At 38.3% G+C, this 17,649-nt stretch overlaps 1 protein-coding gene and 1 pseudogene across 11 annotated transcripts in view, besides 1 other annotated feature; both read left to right on the forward strand.

The window, feature by feature from the left end:
* NSUN7 (NOP2/Sun RNA methyltransferase family member 7) overlaps nt 1–17,649 on the forward strand; it is a 61,230-nt gene that overhangs the window by 33,617 nt on the left and 9,964 nt on the right. For 5 of the 11 annotated variants that reach the window (NM_024677.6, NM_001330648.3, XM_047416172.1 and 2 more), the window contains 3 exons: nt 7,031–7,174; nt 10,804–10,905; nt 15,216–15,333. In NM_024677.6, the coding sequence (NP_078953.4) occupies nt 7,031–7,174; nt 10,804–10,905; nt 15,216–15,333 (364 nt within the window). Of the gene's footprint in view, nt 1–2,976; nt 3,278–7,030; nt 7,175–10,803; nt 10,906–15,215; nt 15,334–16,559; nt 16,664–17,649 lie in introns of those variants that run through there. The other 6 variants (XM_017008611.3, XM_047416171.1, XM_017008612.3 and 3 more) reach the window with 4 other exon arrangements.
* ARL4AP2 (ARF like GTPase 4A pseudogene 2) lies at nt 2,317–3,465 on the forward strand (annotated as a pseudogene).
* Nucleotides 16,789–16,918: an enhancer, noted in NCBI's record as "active region_21500". NCBI's record gives its function as "activates an Ori minimal core promoter by ATAC-STARR-seq in GM12878 lymphoblastoid cells {active_cell/tissue: GM12878}" and the evidence as "EXISTENCE:reporter gene assay evidence [ECO:0000049][PMID:35858748]".

Raw genomic sequence — 17,649 nt, forward strand, 5'->3', positions numbered from 1 at the left:
GCACGGTGGCTCATGCCTGTAATCTCAGCACTTTGGGAGGCCGAGGTGAGTGGATCACCTGAGGTCAGGAGTTCAAGACCAGCCTGGCCAACATGACGAAACCCTGTCTCTACTAAAATTACAAAAATTAGCCGGGAATGGTGGTGCACACTGGTAATCCCAGCTACTCAGGAGGCTGAGGCAGGAGAATCACTTGGACCCAGAAGGTGGAGGTTGCAGTGAGCCAAGATTGTGCCACTGCACTCTAGCCTAGGCAACAGAGCGAGAATCCATTTAAAAAAAAAAAAAAAGATAACTCACAGAATGGGAGAAATTATTTTCAAATCATCTATCTGAAAAGGGACTTGTATTCAGAATATATAAACAACTCAACAATAAAAAGACAAGTAGCCCAACTTAGAAAGGGCAGAAGATCTGAATATTTCTCCAGTGAAGATCTACAAATGACCAGTAAGCTCATGTGAAAAGATGCTCAAAATCATTCATCATTAGGGAACTGCAAATCAAAACCATAATGAAATACCACTTCAAACCCACTAGTATGGCTATAGTAAAAAACAGGAAAATAACATGTAAGCAACAATGTGGAAGAATTGCTGATGGGAACATAAAATGGTGCAGCTACTTTGGAAAACAGTTTGGCAGTTTCCCAATAAGTTAAACATAGAGTTACTATATAACTTAAGAATTCCACCTTTAGGTCCATACTCAAGAGAATTGAAAACATATATTCACACAAAAGCTTGTACATGAAAGTTCATAGCAGTGTTATTCATAATAGCTAAAAAGTGGAAATAGCCCAAATGTCCATCAAATGATGAGTGGATTAAAAATGTGGTATATCCATACAATGGAAGAGTATTTGGCCATAAAAAAGAATGAAATCCTAATGGTGCAAGATGGATGACTCTTAAAACATGATGCTAAGTAAGAAAGCCAAACAAAAAAGTCCTCATTTATGATTACATTTTGGGGGAAGAGGACAATATCCCAAATAGGCAAATCTATGGAGACAGAATAGATTAGCAAATGTGATGGGCTGGTTGCCCTTTCCTGAGATGGGCTGGGAGAATGACTACTAATGAGTATGGGGTTTCTCTTGGGAGTGAAGAAAGTGTTGCAGAATTGGTAATAGTGATGGTTACACAACTTGGTGAATGTACTCAAAAGAACCCCTGAGTTGTATACTTAAACCTTAAGAAAATCAGTCAGAACCAAAAGCTAGACAATTTGTCAATTTATCTTAGTGGGAGATTTTAACAGACCTCTCTCAAATTGAAAACAAATTAGTAAGATAAGTAAGGATATAGAAGATGGAAACAACATGATCAGCAAGTTAACCAAGCTAACATATGTAGAACACCGTACCTAGTGACTGCACAGAACACATAAACAGCAAAAATTACTACATGCTGGGCCAGGAAGCAAGTTTCAGTGACTTTCAAAGGACTGAAATCATACAAAGTTGTTGTTGTTGTTGTTTTAGAGACTGGGTCTCACTGTCACCCAGGCTGTAGTGCAGTGGTGTGATCCTGGCTCACTGCAGCTTGATCTCCTGGGTGCAAACAGTCCTCCCACTTCAGCATCCCAAGTAGCTGCTATTATAGGCACATACCACCACTCTCAGCTATTTTTTTTTTTTTTGGTAGAGACAAGGTCTCACTATTTTGCCCAGGGATTACAGGGATGAGTCACCACACCTAGCTCCTAATATGTTTTTCAGCCACAGTGGAATCAAGCAAGAAATCAGGGAAAAAAAGAAAAAGAAAAGTAGGAAATCCCATGACATTTTGGATTTTTTTTTTGAGATGGAGTTTCACTCTTGTTGCCCAGGCTGGAGTGCAATGGCGTGATCTTGGCTCACTGCAACCTCCGCCTCCCAGGTTCAAGTGATTCTTCTGCCTCAGCCTCCCAAGTAGTTGGGATTACAGGCACGTGCCACCATGGCCAGCTAATTTTTAGTATTTTTAGTAGAGATAGGGTTTCACCATGTTGGCCAGGCTGGTTGTGAACTCCTGACCTCAGGTGATCCACCCGCCTCGGCCTCCCAAAGTGCTGGGATTACAGGCGTGAGCCACCATGCCCAGCCACACTTTGGAATTAAAATACTTCAAAATAATTTATCAGTTATAAAAGAAATCACAGTGGGAATTAGAGAATATTTGGAACTTAACGATTGTAAAAATACATGTTAACATGTAGAATGCAACTAAGAGGGAATGTTGTAGGCTAAAATACTACCATTAGAGAAGAAGAAATAGTAAAGATTGATGATGCTTACATGCATGATAAGAAGTTAGAAAAATAGCATCAAAGCTGGCGCGCGGCGCCTGCCAGGCGCCCAGTCCTCCGCCATCGCCCACGCCTCCCTGGTGCCAGGGAATAGGTATCAGGGCGCCTCCCCAGCGGCTGGGAGAGACGCTGAGTGAAGAAGAGGGAAGGACAGTTAGTCAGTCTTATAGCTGGATCAGTTACCAGGAGAAGTTCTAAAGCAAGAAGAGAAAAGCATTTCAATTTGGGACATTTATTTGCACCTGGAAATGGGGAATGGGCTATCAGACCAGACTTCTATCCTGTCCAACCTGCCTTCATTTCAGTCCTTCCACATTGTTATTCTGGGTTTGGACTGTGCTGGAAAGACAACTGTCTTATACAGGCTGCAGTTCAATGAATTTGTAAATACCGTACCTACCAAAGGATTTAACACTGAGAAAATTAAGGTAACCTTGGGAAATTCTAAAACAGTCACTTTTCATTTCTGGGATGTAGGTGGTCAGGAGAAATTAAGGCCACTGTGGAAGTCATATACCAGATGCACAGATGGCATTGTGTTTGTTGTGGACTCTGTTGATGTCGAAAGGATGGAAGAAGCCAAAACTGAACTTCACAAAATAAATAGGATATCAGAAAATCAAGGAGTCCCTGTACTTATAGTTGCTAACAAACAAGATTTGAAGAACTCATTGTCTCTTTCAGAAATTGAGAAATTGTTAGCAATGGGTGACCTGAGTTCATCAACTCCTTGGCATTTGCAGCCTACCTGTGCAATCATAGGAGATGGCCTAAAGGAAGGACTTGAGAAACTACATGATATGATCATTAAAAGAAGAAAAATGTTGCGGCAACAGAAAAAGAAAGATGAATATCAATACCTATTATATCTGTGTGGAGTAGGTTTTCTCTGGTCTGATTTTGACAAATAGAAGAGTGTCTACAGCGTGGTTTGCCTGCCTGTCTGCCCTCCTGGATGCTATTAAAGCTTTGTTTTGTTGAACAATCAGATGCCCAACTCTGTTGCCTTGTGGAAGATAAGTAAATGCAGTGCTTCTTAAAGTGGTCTCTTCTCCCTACCCCACAAATCTTTTGGTACTACCATTTGGGGAAGCCAAGCAAGGATAGTAAATTGACCAGAACACAGTTGTGGGAATTTGGCCTGAAGTTAGTGAAATAAAACTTTAAAGAGTGAAAAAAAAAAAAGAAAAATAGCATCAAATAAATCTGATGGAAGAATATAATAAAGATGGCAGGAATTAATGTTACAGAAAACAAACAGAGTATCTCTTAACAAAACCAAAAAGTGACTTTTTAAAAAGAAAATATAATTTTACACTGCGGAAGGCCGCAGGGACCTCTGCCTAGGAAAACCAGAGACCTTTGTTCATGTGTTTATCTGCTGACCTTCTCTCCACTATTATCCTATGACCCTGCCACATCCCCCTCTCCGAGAAACACCCAAGAATGATCAATAAATACTAAAAAATAAAAATAAAAAAATAAAAAAAGTGATTTTAAAATGTAAAAAAAAGAAAATATAATTTTAAAAGAAAATATAATTGATTCATCAAGAAAAAGAACATAAAACAATTCAGTTATCAATAATATCACTGCAGATCCTAGATACATTTAAAGCACAATAAAAAGATACTATGAGCAATTTTATGCCAATAAACTTGAACATTTAACTGCTATGGATTCCTGGATAGACAACTTGCCAAAACTGAGAAATAGTTTTGGAAAATCTGGATACTCTTGAATCTGGCTATTAAGATCTTAAGATTAATGGCTATTAATATCTGTTGAATTAATAATAGAAAATCTTCCCACCCACAAGACAAAAAGTTTTTAAAAATTTTATTCCTATATGATGTTGTCACAGAATTCTGCAAATAATTTAAGGAAGAAATAATACTCTTTCAGAGAATGGAAGGAGGAACTACTTCCCAGTTCATTTTATAATGTCGATGAGGTTGCTCTTTCCTTTTATTTATTTATTTTTTTGAGACGGAGTCTTGCTCTGTCGCCCAGACGACTAGAGTGCAGTAGCACGATCTTGGCTCACTGCAACCTCCACCTCCCAGGTTCAAGCAATTCTCCTGCCTCACCCTCCTGAGTAGCTGGGATTACAGAGGCAGGCCATGACGCCTGGCTAATTTTTGTATTTTTAGTAGAGATGGGGTTTCACCATGTTGGTCAGGCTGGTCTCAAACTCCCGACCTCGTGATCCGCCCACCTCGGCCTCCCAAAGTGCTGGGATTACAGGCAAGAGCCACCGTGCCCGGCCGAGGTTGCCTCTTCCTGAGATGGGAAAGACTGTGGTACAGTTAGGTTTTAGTTATGTTAGGTTTAAGATGCCTGTTAGACATTAAGTGGAAATGTCAAGCAGGTATTTGGGTACACTCTTTTGGAGTTCAGGGGAGAAGTCTATGTTAAAGATACATATTTGGGATTTGTTAGCATTTACATAATATTGAATGTCATGATCACTAAAGAAGTGAGTTTAGGTAGTAAAGAAATCTAAAAGCCAATTCCTGGACACTCCAATACCTAGAGGTCAGGAAGCTGAATAAGAGGGAACCAGCAAAGGAGCCACAGAGAAGTAGGAGAAGAATCAAGAGAAAGCAAGTTGAGGAACTGGGCCAGTTCTTATTATTGCCTCTCAGCTCTAAACCCACACTTTGTCCTGCCTTGTGATGCTGGAACTGTACTCTGATTCTCCGTTTCTCCATTGCCAACTGCCTCTGTCATTAGAGGGTGCCGAGAGACTTTGTAAGACTGGAAGAGGAAGAAGAAAGGACTTTTCTTCTTCCAATGCTTGTTTATCCCTATGGTGGCTGTGTAGAATCCTGGCAGTGTTCACCACAGCATATTCCTTTGGTAACCGTGCCCTCTTCTCAGAGACCTGAATCTCAGCCTGGTGTGTGTTGTGTGTAGGTTTGGGGGCAGGGAGGTGCTCTGCTGAGTTTCCAAGTTCCTTGTTCATTTTTCTCTCAGTCTTGGGGCTGAGGGTGGGAATAGTGGCTGCTCTCTGCAGTTCTTACATCTGTACACATTAGAGTTTTCAAATAGTTGAGCAGTTTTTACCTACTTAACACAAGAGAATAGGAACTACTGGGGAGCCAGGCAGTAGAAGAGAGGAAATTTCTCCTTTTAGAAGTATTCCAGCTAATAAAGGAAAAAGGGTTTTAGAATTAGAATATGAGTGTTTTGCAACCCCTTTGGTGGTACCACAAAGGCAACTGAGTGGAAGAATATGATGCCATCTGTTAAGTAGTTTTGCCTCTTTCTCTCTGTCCCCCAAAGGAAAAAGTATTGGTCTTCTAAAGATTCACTTACTAATTTACAGGAAGTACAGAAAAGAGGAACATGTTAAACTGCATTCTAGGAAAACAGCAAAATCCAGATTGTGGGAAACTCTGGCAGGGCAAATAATGAAGTTTCATTAAGAAATAAATGTTAAGAAAAAATGAAGGGAGAACCTGTAGGTGAAAAGAAATGTAAAGTAAGACTGATCAGTTGCCATGTATGTACCTTATTTAGATCCTGATTCAAACAAAAAACTTTTGACACGTGTGAGACTGTTGGGAAATGCGAGCCAGATTAGATATTTGATAATAATAAGGAAACATTTTTAACTTTTTTGGTGTCGTTACATTTTAAAAGAAGATTTTATCCTTTTAGAGATATATGTGGTACTATTTATAGATTCAAAATAATAGGGGGCTGGGTGGGAGGGGCTGCATTGTACAGATGAAACAAGATTGACTGTGAATGGTTCACTGTTGAAACTCTGTGATGGGTACTTGAGAATTTATTATATTATTATGCCTATATTGCAGATATTTGAAGTTTCCCAATAAAATGTTTAAAATAGTGGCAGGGGGCAAGAAGAAAAGGACCACTCAATTTAAAGAAAAAATAATTTTAAAAGACACAGAGAATAGGAAGAGGGAAAAATTGGTGAGGCAAGAGAAAGGCAGCAGGTGGGGCCATATCAAGAGTGATTCTTCAGCAGGTGAGGCGTGATAGCCACCGCAAAAGTAGAGGGTTGGCTGTAAGATAGGGGGCACAGATGGCTATAATGCAAGGGAAGGCAGACTCTCTTAAGCTAAGTCACAAGATCCTTAAAGGTATGATTGATGTTTTACACCAGTTTGTATGGATTCTGTACCTTGGACTGGAAACTTATAAGTGCTTCTGATAACCCTCCCCCACCTTTTTTTTTTTTTTTTTTCTGGAGAGAAGATAGAACATAAAAGGGGATAAAGAATAGGAGAGGGAAATAACCAATATTGAGCCCTTGCTATATAATAGACAGCACGCTAAGCTTAACTACTTTATCTCAGTCTTCACCACAGTTATATGAGGTAGCCATCCCATTTTATGAAGAAGGAAATGGAGGCTCAGGGAGATTAAAATGCACAGCTAGTAAACAGTGAAGCTGGGAGTCAACTTGAATTTTTCTGCCTCTGAAGTCTATTTCTCCCCTACTATATATCCTGCAGTTCAGAATGAGAATTTAATTTTAAATTTCAACATCATTTCAGGTGAAGGAGAAAACATTCTATTAATAGGATTCCTGTATTAACTTTGGGTAGATATCAGAGAAGAATAGCCTTCTTTTCTAACTACATCAAAATGAATTTTTGTGAGGTTGAGGATTTTAAAATGTACAATAAATAGATACAATCACATACTACATTAAGATTTTTCATTAATATTTTACATTAAATTTTCTGTGTTTTTTCCCCAGATATTGAAATACTTCATGAGAAATTTATTAACATTGAATCAAAGGATCACAGGTTACAGAAAGTTAAAGTGATTTTGCTGCTACCTCGTTGTTCAGGACTGGGTGTTAGTAATCCAGTAGAATTTATTTTAAATGAACATGAAGGTACTTGTTTTAATTTCTAAATTATTGAAATTAGTTGACAGTTTAAAATATAAAATTATTTAAAATCATTAAAATAGCATATCAAATACATCTGATTAATAAATAATAGCAACCACATATAAAGTACTTACTATGTATAAAGTCCTTTACCTCTGTTACCTCATTTAATCCTTACACCAATCCAATAGACCAGGGTGATATTCAAAATATTTAATAATTGGAATAATGTAGGCAATCAGAAAAGATGCTGGCCAGTATGCTATTCTGAATATACCAGAGCTCTTGATGTAAGTGTTAAAATTTACCGGCATTCTATAGATGAAAATACTGAGACTCAAAGATTGATTCATTTTTCTCAGGTCAAGCAACTAGAGACAGAGCTAAGATTCAAATTTAGATCTGTTTGACTCTAGAGCCTATGTTCTAAACATGATTCTAATTAAATCATTATCAGATTATTTCAAACTCAAAGGTGTCTTAATCGCTAGGATGTATGCTTTATGAAATGAATGTCTCAGACTAAATATAGAAGCATTGACATTTAATTTTATTGGCTTTTAAATACATTTAAAATAATAATTATTTAACATTAACATTTATTGAGCACTTAGATGTAAGGCCCTGGGCGTGGCACTTTTCTTGGATTATTTCAGTAAGTCTTCACAAGAATTCTGTGAAGTAGTAACTTGTTAACTTCTATTTTACAAATGAGGAATCTGAGGCTCAGAGAAGTTAATGAAGTCTCCTAGGATCATTGGGCTAGTAAGAGGCAGAGCTTGGATTCAAATACAACCAGTCTGACTCTGAGACTGGCACTTTTAATGACTCTCTTAATCACATTATATTGCTCCAAATTAAATGAAACTTATGCTTATCCCTTGCTTATATTGAAAGGCATATTAAATTGAAAGGTTAATTAGAATATTAGAAAAAGAAGACACCCCACAAATGTACAGAATATAGTAACTGTTTTCTGTTTCTAGCAAGGACAGAAGAGGAAAAGAAATGGAGGGAAAAGAGCTAATATTTATTAAACACAATAATGTCCCAGGCAATATTCTAGGTAGTGTTCACATACTGTCACTTAGTATTCACAATAACTTTTTGAGGTTAGTGTTCTTCTAATTGTAGAGGAAAAAAACCAAGACTCAGAAAAATTAAACCAGTTGCTTATGGTCATGTAGCTAGTAAGTAGGGAAGCTGGGATTCAAATTCAGGTGGGTTAGCACATTTTCCTTCCACTAAACGACACTATCTTTAACTGGGTTTACACTGTACCACATGGAATTTTGACTTGCTATAGAAAATTTCTTTCCAGAGAGACTTCAGCCAAAGAATAACCAATTCAGATGGTAGAATGGTAGGTAGGCTGAGAAAATTTCTAGATGAACTTTAAGAAATAATCAAAGAACAATTAGTAGACACTGAAAGAAAAGGGGGAAGGAAAAAAGGGGGAAGAAATAGCAGCTATAATAAGCATAGCAGTCAGGAGAACTAGAGCTCAGAACTGTGAGACTCTGGCCTTATCCTGGGCCATTTTGAGGTGGAAATCCAGAAAAAAAATAAACCACAGAATAAAAATAAACTAAAGGCTAGAGGAGAAAGGCCCAGAGGAAAATACAAATAAGGAAAGTGGGGAAAGGAAAACATTTCCTAGGTACTGGTAATGTTTTGAAAGCCTTGATGAGGAGATGATAGGATAAGCTAAGAAGTTGTCGTATACTGGCCGGGAGCGGTGGCTCACGCCTGTAATCCCAGCACTTTGGGAGGCCGAGGAGGGCGGATCACGAGGTCAGGAGCTCGAGACCATCCTGGCTAACACGGTGAAACCCCGTCTCTACTAAAAATACAAAAAATTAGCCGGGCGAGGTGGCGGGCGCCTGTAGTCCCAGCTACTCGGGAGGCTGAGGCAGGAGAATGGCTTGAACCCCGGGGGGCGGAGCCTGCAGTGAGCCGAGATCGCGCCACTGCACTCCAGCCTGGGCGACAGCAAGACTCCATCTCATTTAAAAAAAAAAAAGTTGTCGTATCCTGAAGTAAGCGGGCTTTTGAAGGAACCTGTACTCTGAGGAGCTAAAAGCTTGAGCAAATAAGGAGCTGCCGACCTAGTGACTCTGGTGGGAACGTGGAACGTTAGCCAGAAACTTAGTGGGGGTGAATCCGAAAGATTATTTTATTAAACTTAGATACAAGGTAGAATGGAACAATAAGGAATTAGTTTTAAAAACATTTTAACATCGAAAAATATTAGAACCATTGAGAAATATATGAAGTTGGTCCTTGCTAACGACTTGGAATTATTTTAAGATAGAATTAAAGAAATAGATAATACGACTTTGGAGTATAATAATTTGTAATAGTCCTTTAACAAGTAATGGATAGTTTTAGAACAGAGAAAAAAAATGTGAAATGTAGGCCAGGCACAGTGGCTCACACCTGTAATCCCACCACTTTGGGAGGCTGAGGTGGGTAGATCGGTTGAGGCCAGGAGTTCGAGTTCAGCCTGACCAACATAGTGAAACCCAGTCTCTACTAAAAATACAAAAATTAGCCGGGCATCATGGTGAACACCTGTAGTCCCAGCTATTCAGGAGGCTGAGGCATGAGAATTGCTTGAACCCAGGAGGCAGAGGTTGCAGTGAGCCGAGATGGTGCCACTGCACTCCAGCCTGGATGACAGAGTGAGATCCTGTCTCAAAAAAACAGCAACAACAACAACAATAACAAAAAACAAAAAACAAAACCTCATGAAATGTAAAACTAAATTGGGAAGAAATGGAGTTTAATTAACCTTTAGTGATAGTACTGGAATGGGCAACAGCCACATACATGGTATAAATAATTGGCTGTCATGCTCTAGTGAGTTCTAGAGAGGCAGTATAATACAGAGTTTAAAAATTTGGGTCCTCTGGTTAGATTTCTGAGTTAGAATCCTGGCTGTCCACTTAGTAGCTATATAACCTTAGACAAGTTGTTTAATGTATGTTTAAACAATTATCTCAATGTTAGAAGGGCTAGTAATTCTTCAAGAGGTCGTTAAAATAATCTACATAAAGTAGCATTCAGTATATCTTCATTAATATTGTCAATACATATATTTAAATTATTTTTCAAAAATTAAAAAATGTAAGACATTATTTCTTAATCTGTTATGAAGACATAACATTTGCTTTTCTGAATTTTTTCTTCCAAAGTTTCTTTTGGAAAGTTAGTATTTTAAACCATATCCTTGTGTGTTCCCAGATCTGACTATAGCCCATTCGTTTTTATCTTGGAAAATAAATCTTATTTTCTCTATCCAGTATTAGTCTCGAGACTGACGGCATTTTCTCTTCTGTGTCTAAATGACTTATATGACTACTTGGATGACTATCTCATAGCAACTTGGAGAAAAACAATATTAAATATTTTCAATATTGTTTTTGAAAAGCAATATTAAAATGAAACAGAATTAACTTTATTGTTCTAATTTTTAAGTCAACATTTTAATATCTATTTAGTTTTAATAGATATTTTCCATGAAACACTTTTATTGGTAGGCAAAATGATTGAAAAATTATATGATGATAACAATATGTAAAAAGTTTTTAATGGTGCTATATTTAAAAGCATTTCTTTTTAAAATTCAGATACAGAATTCCTTAAAGATCACTCTCAAGGAGGCATCTCAGTGGACAAACTTCACGTTCTTGCTCAACAGCAGTATGAACAGCTAACACATGCAATGAAATGTAAGGTTGTCATAGGCACCATCTTGTTAAAATAAGGTGTACATTTTAGAAATATTAGTCTTTCACGATCTATTATAATCAAGCAATGAAGTGTGAGCCATGAGCACATTTTCCAGAACATTCAGTCTTACTGCCTTCAAATAACAAAATATTTATCTTTACCAATTTAATCTGTTTTTAGAATATATGCTTTACTGTAATTTTAAACAGGTTAGCAAGCATAATTTACCAATTTTGTAATGCCGAAGTGAAATAATTATGTATATTTGTAATTGTAGTTTCAGCTTTCCTGTTTCTTCTCTTAGATTTCTTACTCGATATAATTTTTCTGTTGTCATTGTGCCTACCCTTAACAACTCTTCTACAGTCCAAATTTTAGTCAAACTCTTATTTCTCTTAGTGCTAAGTAGAGAACAGAGAGGTGCAATCGCAGAGAAAGCCTAGATCTCTTGATTTGAAGTTTGAGTAACAAGGCGGCACTTTGAGTGATTTATATCATTGCTTTAATCACTTCATTTAGATTTTGAGTACCACTGCCTTTCCACATATGCACACAGGAATCTAGATGTCTCTGAGAAATTAATAAGCTTTTATTAATTCCGTATATATTTATAAAGTGCTCACTTTGGGTCAGGTATTAAGCTGTATGTAAGGTGTATCAGTGTTAGCAAATCCTGACCTGCAAAGGCTTAAAGATAAATGGATATGGGCATAGACCCCATCTATATTATAGGTACAGATCTGAGTATAGATCATTCAGTAAATAAATATATAAACACACATGAGGTAGAAATAAGGCCTATACAAATCACAGAGGTCACAGCTTGCCAGGAGTAAAAGCAAAAAATAAGTAAATAGAAAGCACAGAGGAGGCTTTTTCTTTTAGTTCATATTGCTAATAAATGTTCATTTGAACATGATATGGATATGATCTAGGAAATAAGTTGATTGGAAGATCAGGAATTTGGTAAATAATAAGCCTTTTACTTGAAGCATTTTAATTAAATTTTAATTGGATATTTCAAGCTTAAAAAAGCTTCAGAAAGAATCTGAAAAGCAAAGGGATTTTAATGACATAAACTCTTTTATGATGCCAAATAAACATAAAATTTGGCAACTCTTGAGATTATGGCAGTTTATGTTACTGGAAGACATACTGTAAGTCAAAACAAGTTGTATTTAGTTTCCCATAAGGAAATACTGTCTTAGGTAGTCAGGTGTGTAATCAGGGGTTTGACTCCAGATTTTGATAGAACCGATTAAAAGCCCGATTTGAAGTCAACCACATAAAAGATAATTACGTAATCTGTCATGGGATTAGAGTAAAAACAAATACAAATTAAAAATACCAAAAGGTAACTGTGCTGAGTCCTTGTTAGTTGTGAAAATAATTTTTAAATATTTGAGCACTTATTGTTTACTTATTATGTGCCTGGCACCTGCTGCTTACTTTATATGTATCATTTTATTTAGTAATCACCAAATTTTCTTCCTTAGCTTCCATGCTATCTTTGACCAGAGCAACAAGGGGGCTCGGGCACCCCTAATTCCCTTACCCTCTAAGACTCACAGCCTTGCCACTATTCTCTACTTTAAAATCGTAAGTGGGAGCCAGGCGTGGTGGCTCATGCCTGTAATCCCAGTACTTTGGGAGGCCAAACCTGGCGGATCACTTGAGGCCAGCCTGGACAACATGGTGAAACCCCATCTCTACTAAAAATACAAAAATTAGCCGGGCGTGTTGGCGCATGCCTGTAGTCCCAGCTACTTGGGAGGCTGAGATATGAGAATCACTTGTTATAGTGAGCTGAGATTGCACCACTGCACTCCAGCCTGGGTGACAGAGTGAGACTCTGTCTCTAAATAAATAAATAAATAAGTGGGCTAGGCATGGTGGCTCATGTCTGAAATCCCAGTGCTTGGGAGGTCAACATGGTAGGATCACTTCAGGCCAGGAGTTTGAGACCAACCTGGACAACATAGTGAGACCCTGCCTCTACAAAAAATAAAAAAAGTTATCTAGGCATGGGGGCATGCAGGCTACTCGGGAGACTGAAGTGGGAGGATTGCTTGAGCCCAGGAGTTGGAGGCTGCAGTGAGCCATGATCACCTCACTGCACTCCAGCCTAGGCAACAGAGCAAGACCCCATCTATTAAAAAAATACAAATAAATCAAGTTATAAGAAACATGTCTCCTTATATCCTTTACACCTATTAATGACAATTAACTCAAGAGGCCCCGACTCCAGGTCATTCCTCATCTCCTATACTCTGGTCTCCATAACTCTCTTCATATCCCTTTGTCCACATCTCTCACTCTGTGCTCTCTAGAATTTATAGTTCCTCATCAACAAAAATTCCCTATATTTTAACTTCTTTGAATGTCCTCCCCCTTTGTAAAAAATTCCTGTAACTTGCCTTTCCCCTGGGAACAGTGTTTCCTCAGTCTTTCCTCTCCTTCTTTTTTGAGCTATTGCCATCACACGTTCACTCCTGCCACTAAACTGAAACGGTCCTGTGAAGATCGCCAGTGATCCCCATGCTGTTGTGTCAGTTGCCAGCCCTGGTCTACCTAGGTCTGTCTGTGGCAGTTGACAGAAGTGGTCGCTTCCTCTCCCTTCACACACTTCCATCACTTGTCTTCTAGGGCACCACCTTCCAGGCCTTCTCTCTGGCCTCCCCTTCTCTGTCTCCCTTACTGGGTCCTCTCTGTCTCAACACCCTGTTTAACATGGGAGTGTGCCACAGTCCATGCCTTGGATCTTTTTTCTCTGCCTATACTTATCCCTTGGTGATTGTATCTAGTCTTATGGTTTTAAACACCTCTATGTGACTCCCAAATCTGTATTTCCAGTCTAAACTTCCTCTTGAAACTCTAAGCTTATATTTCCAGCTGCCTTCTTGACATCTCCACTTAGGGACTCATAGTCATCTCAAAGCTAACATGTCTAAGGTGGAAGCTCTGATCTTCCTCCCGCCATACTTGTTCCTCCCACAGTACTGCCATTTCAGTTAATGATAGTTGTAGCCTTCCACCCGCTTAGGCTAAAAACGTTAGCATTATCCATGATTTCTCTTTCATACCCACAGCCAGTCTGTCAGTGTATGAGGTAGGTTCTACATTCAACTTATATCCAGAATATATCCAGCTACCTCCACCACTACCACGGTGTCCAAACCACCATCACCTCACACTTGAATTACTGTAATGACCTCCTAATTTCTCTGCCAGCCTCTGCCCCTGCCCTCTGCACTCTATTCTTAACACAGCAATTGGAGTGATCTTGTTAAAACCCATCATAACCCAAGTAAAAACCTAAGCCCTTCCGGTGGCCCACAAGTCCCTGTACTATCTGGGGCTCAGACCATGCTTTCTGACTTCGACTTACTACTCTCTCTTCATTCCCTCTGCTCTGATCAAACCGGCCCCTTCACTTTCCTGGAACATACCAGCACCATGTTGACTTCAGGCCTTTACACTGGCTGTTCCTTTACCTTAGAATGCTTTTCTCTAAATAGCTCTGTGGCTGGTTCCTTATCTCCATCTAGTCTACCCACAGTTTGCCATCTCAACAATGCTTTCTCTCACTGCTCTATTTCACACTATTTCTCCTGGAACTCTCTATCCCTCACCCGGCTCTGCTTTTCTCCATAGCATTGATCACTTAACAGTACTATATAGTTTTCCTATTTATCTCTGTCTTACTGTCTTTCTCCTCTACTAGAAAGTTAGCTCCACAGGGGCAAGGATTTTTGTTTGTGTTATTGTATCCCAAAGCCTAGAACAGTGCCTGTCTGGCAGGTGGTAGGTGCTCAATAAGTATGAATCAATGAGTGAATTGCAGGTGGTAGTATTACCTCATTTTACGGATGAAAAATTTAAGACTTTAAGTAATTTGCCCAGGTTCATACAGCAGTAAGTGACAGAACTGGGATTCACCTCTAAGTCTGTCTGTTTCTAGAGTCCTTTAAACTATTTAGGCAATATCGCTTGTAGAAGAATGGGCAGAAGTATCAAGTTCATGGTAACCTGCAGTATTTATTTATTTGTGTTTATAACTAAGTTGGCCTCATTTTTTGTTGAATTTTCAATTTCCATACAATCCAGTTAGAGTGACTTTACTTACTGGCCACAGACTAAATTACTAAGACAAGCTTTTACTTTAAAGGGGAGCCATTCAAGCATCTGGGGAAATTATTCTCATCAAAACCATGTGGTATTAGTATCAAATAGATGTTTGGAAACATAGCACATTTGTATAGGATTGTTAATATAGTTGTTACAGTCATTGCATCTTCTTCTAATATAGTTACTAAAGCTCAAGCAGTTGTTTACTGCACATGTTCAGTTTTTCCAGAAGAAAATGAAGCTGTTGTTAAGAAAGCACTGGAATTTCAAGACCTTGGGAATAAAGGACAACCTTACAGGTAAGAAAAGGAAGGATTCTTCTAAACAACTCAAACAAATATTTTTTAAAAGGAAAAATATTATTTTCTAAGTTGTATAAAGACATTCTACTTTTTAAAATTATACTTTAGTATGATAAAATTGCCTGACTTCTTACAAATTTAACCAAGATTCCATAGGGCCTTTTTCTTTTTTTTTTTTTTTTTTTTTTTTTTTTTAAAGATGGAATCTTGCTCTGTCATCCAGGCTGGAGTGCAGTGGCACCATTTCGATTCACTACAAACTCCGCCTCCCAGGTTCAAGCAATTCTCCTGCCTCAGCCTCCCAAGTGGCTGGGATTACAGGCAAGTGCCACCACGCCAGGCTAATTTTTGTATTTTTAGTAGAGATGGGGGTTTTACCGTATTGGCCAGGCTGCTCTCAAACTCCTGACCTCAGGTAATCCACCTGCCTTGGCCTCCCAAAGTGCTGGGATTTAAGAAATGATATGGCTGGCCTGGTGCGGTGGCTCACACCTGTAATCCCAGCACTTTGGGAGGCTGAGGTGGGCACATACCTTTACCTCAGGTGTTCAAGACCAGCCTGGGCAACATGGTGAAACCCTGTGTGTTTAAAAAAAAAAAAAAAGAATATGATATGGCAAACGTGGAGGAATATTGATTTTATTTTAGGCAAGCCATGATTAATGATTAATCTATAGCATAAAAGACACAAGTAATATAAAGACAGAATCCATAATTCTATATTGGTTTGAGATTTGAGCTCAAATTGGAGAGTACATATATTGAAGATGTTTATAACTACTTGTTGGGGATGCTGCCAAAAGAAATTATGCATTACCTAGGGAATTATACCAAGAATCACTTCTTAGTACCCCAAAGTGGTAGAATTTAGAGTTGAAAGCAATATTACATGTCATTTAATCTCATCACCTACCTGTTGCTTGTATTTCTTTTTAATATCCCAGAAATATTCAGCTCATTTTGGACTTCAGCTGTCATGATAAAATTTGCAAATTTGTAATTTTTTTTGTTCCCCATTGTAAAAATTTCACATTACAGAAGTACTAACTTAAAACAAAAGCCTTTTTCCAAATGGCATCCTCTTATATATAATTGTTCTTAACAATTTGATTTATAGTCTTCTAGATTTTTCCACCACCATAGAATGTGCATATTTTAAGATTTAATCGATATTGTCAAATTACTACCAAGACATTCACTCTTATAAACCTGTTTTCCCACAGCTTCAGAAATGCTGAGCTTCATCAGACTTAAAATCTTTACTCACTTGTGGGGTGAAAACATGAGATGTCGTTACTGATTGTATTTTCATTTCTCTATTACTGAGGTTGAGTATGCTTCCTGTTTACTGACTGGTCAGTGTACTGTGGAGTGGTTAAAAGTAGGGATTCTAGAGCAGTGGTTGTCAAACATTTTTGCTCAAATAATCCTTAAACTTTTTTTTTTTTTTGAGTCAGAGTCTTGCTCTGTTGCCCAGGCTAGAGTGCAGTAGCACGATCTCAGCTCACTGCAACTTCCACCTCCTGGGTTCAAGCAGTTCTCTTGCCTCAGCCTCCCAAGTAGCTGGGATTACAGACACGTGGTACTTCACCTGGCTAATTTTTGTATTTTTAATAGAGACGGAGTTTCACCATCTTGGCCAGGCTGGTCTTGAACTCCTGACCTCAAGTGATCCACCTGCCTTGGCATCCCAAAGTGCTGGGATTACAGGCGTGAGCCACCATGCCCGGCCCCTAAACATTTTTGAATAACTATATATCTTGTTCTTTATTTTAGACTTAATGTCTAACATTTTCATCGTAAGTTTAAATAGCTGCAAAATATATTATTTCTGGAATATTATATTACATATGTGTTTTAAACATATTTCTGTTAAATGTTTGGACCTGCAGATTTATTTATCTTATTTGATTTATGGAAAAATGCTAAATTTGTTACCTATTTTATATAACCAGTTCTCATTGTCAAAACCAAATTTACCTTGTCAGAAAAGGTCTGACTTTATTCTTTAATTCAAATAATCATTAATATTCTTTTGTGATTTTCTTCTAAATTTGAATTCTAAGATAGATATATAGAAATAAGGAAGGGAAAGGGAGGGAGGGAAGAAGTGAGTGTAGGAGGAGAGGAAGGGAGAAAGGGAGGGAGGAAAGAAGGGAGGGAGGGAGGGAGGGAGGAAGGTTTGCTGAGTTTGATACCCTCTTTAAGATTTCTTACCTAAACTCTTGCATTGCCATGGGAGAAGAGGGCCACATTCCTGAGTTGTCCCTTTGTTGGCATCCTGGAGATGTTAACATCCCAGGACAATGGACT

The sequence above is a fragment of the Homo sapiens genome, chromosome 4 (assembly GCF_000001405.40).
Source record: "Homo sapiens chromosome 4, GRCh38.p14 Primary Assembly".
Taxonomy (NCBI): Eukaryota; Metazoa; Chordata; class Mammalia; order Primates; family Hominidae; genus Homo; species Homo sapiens.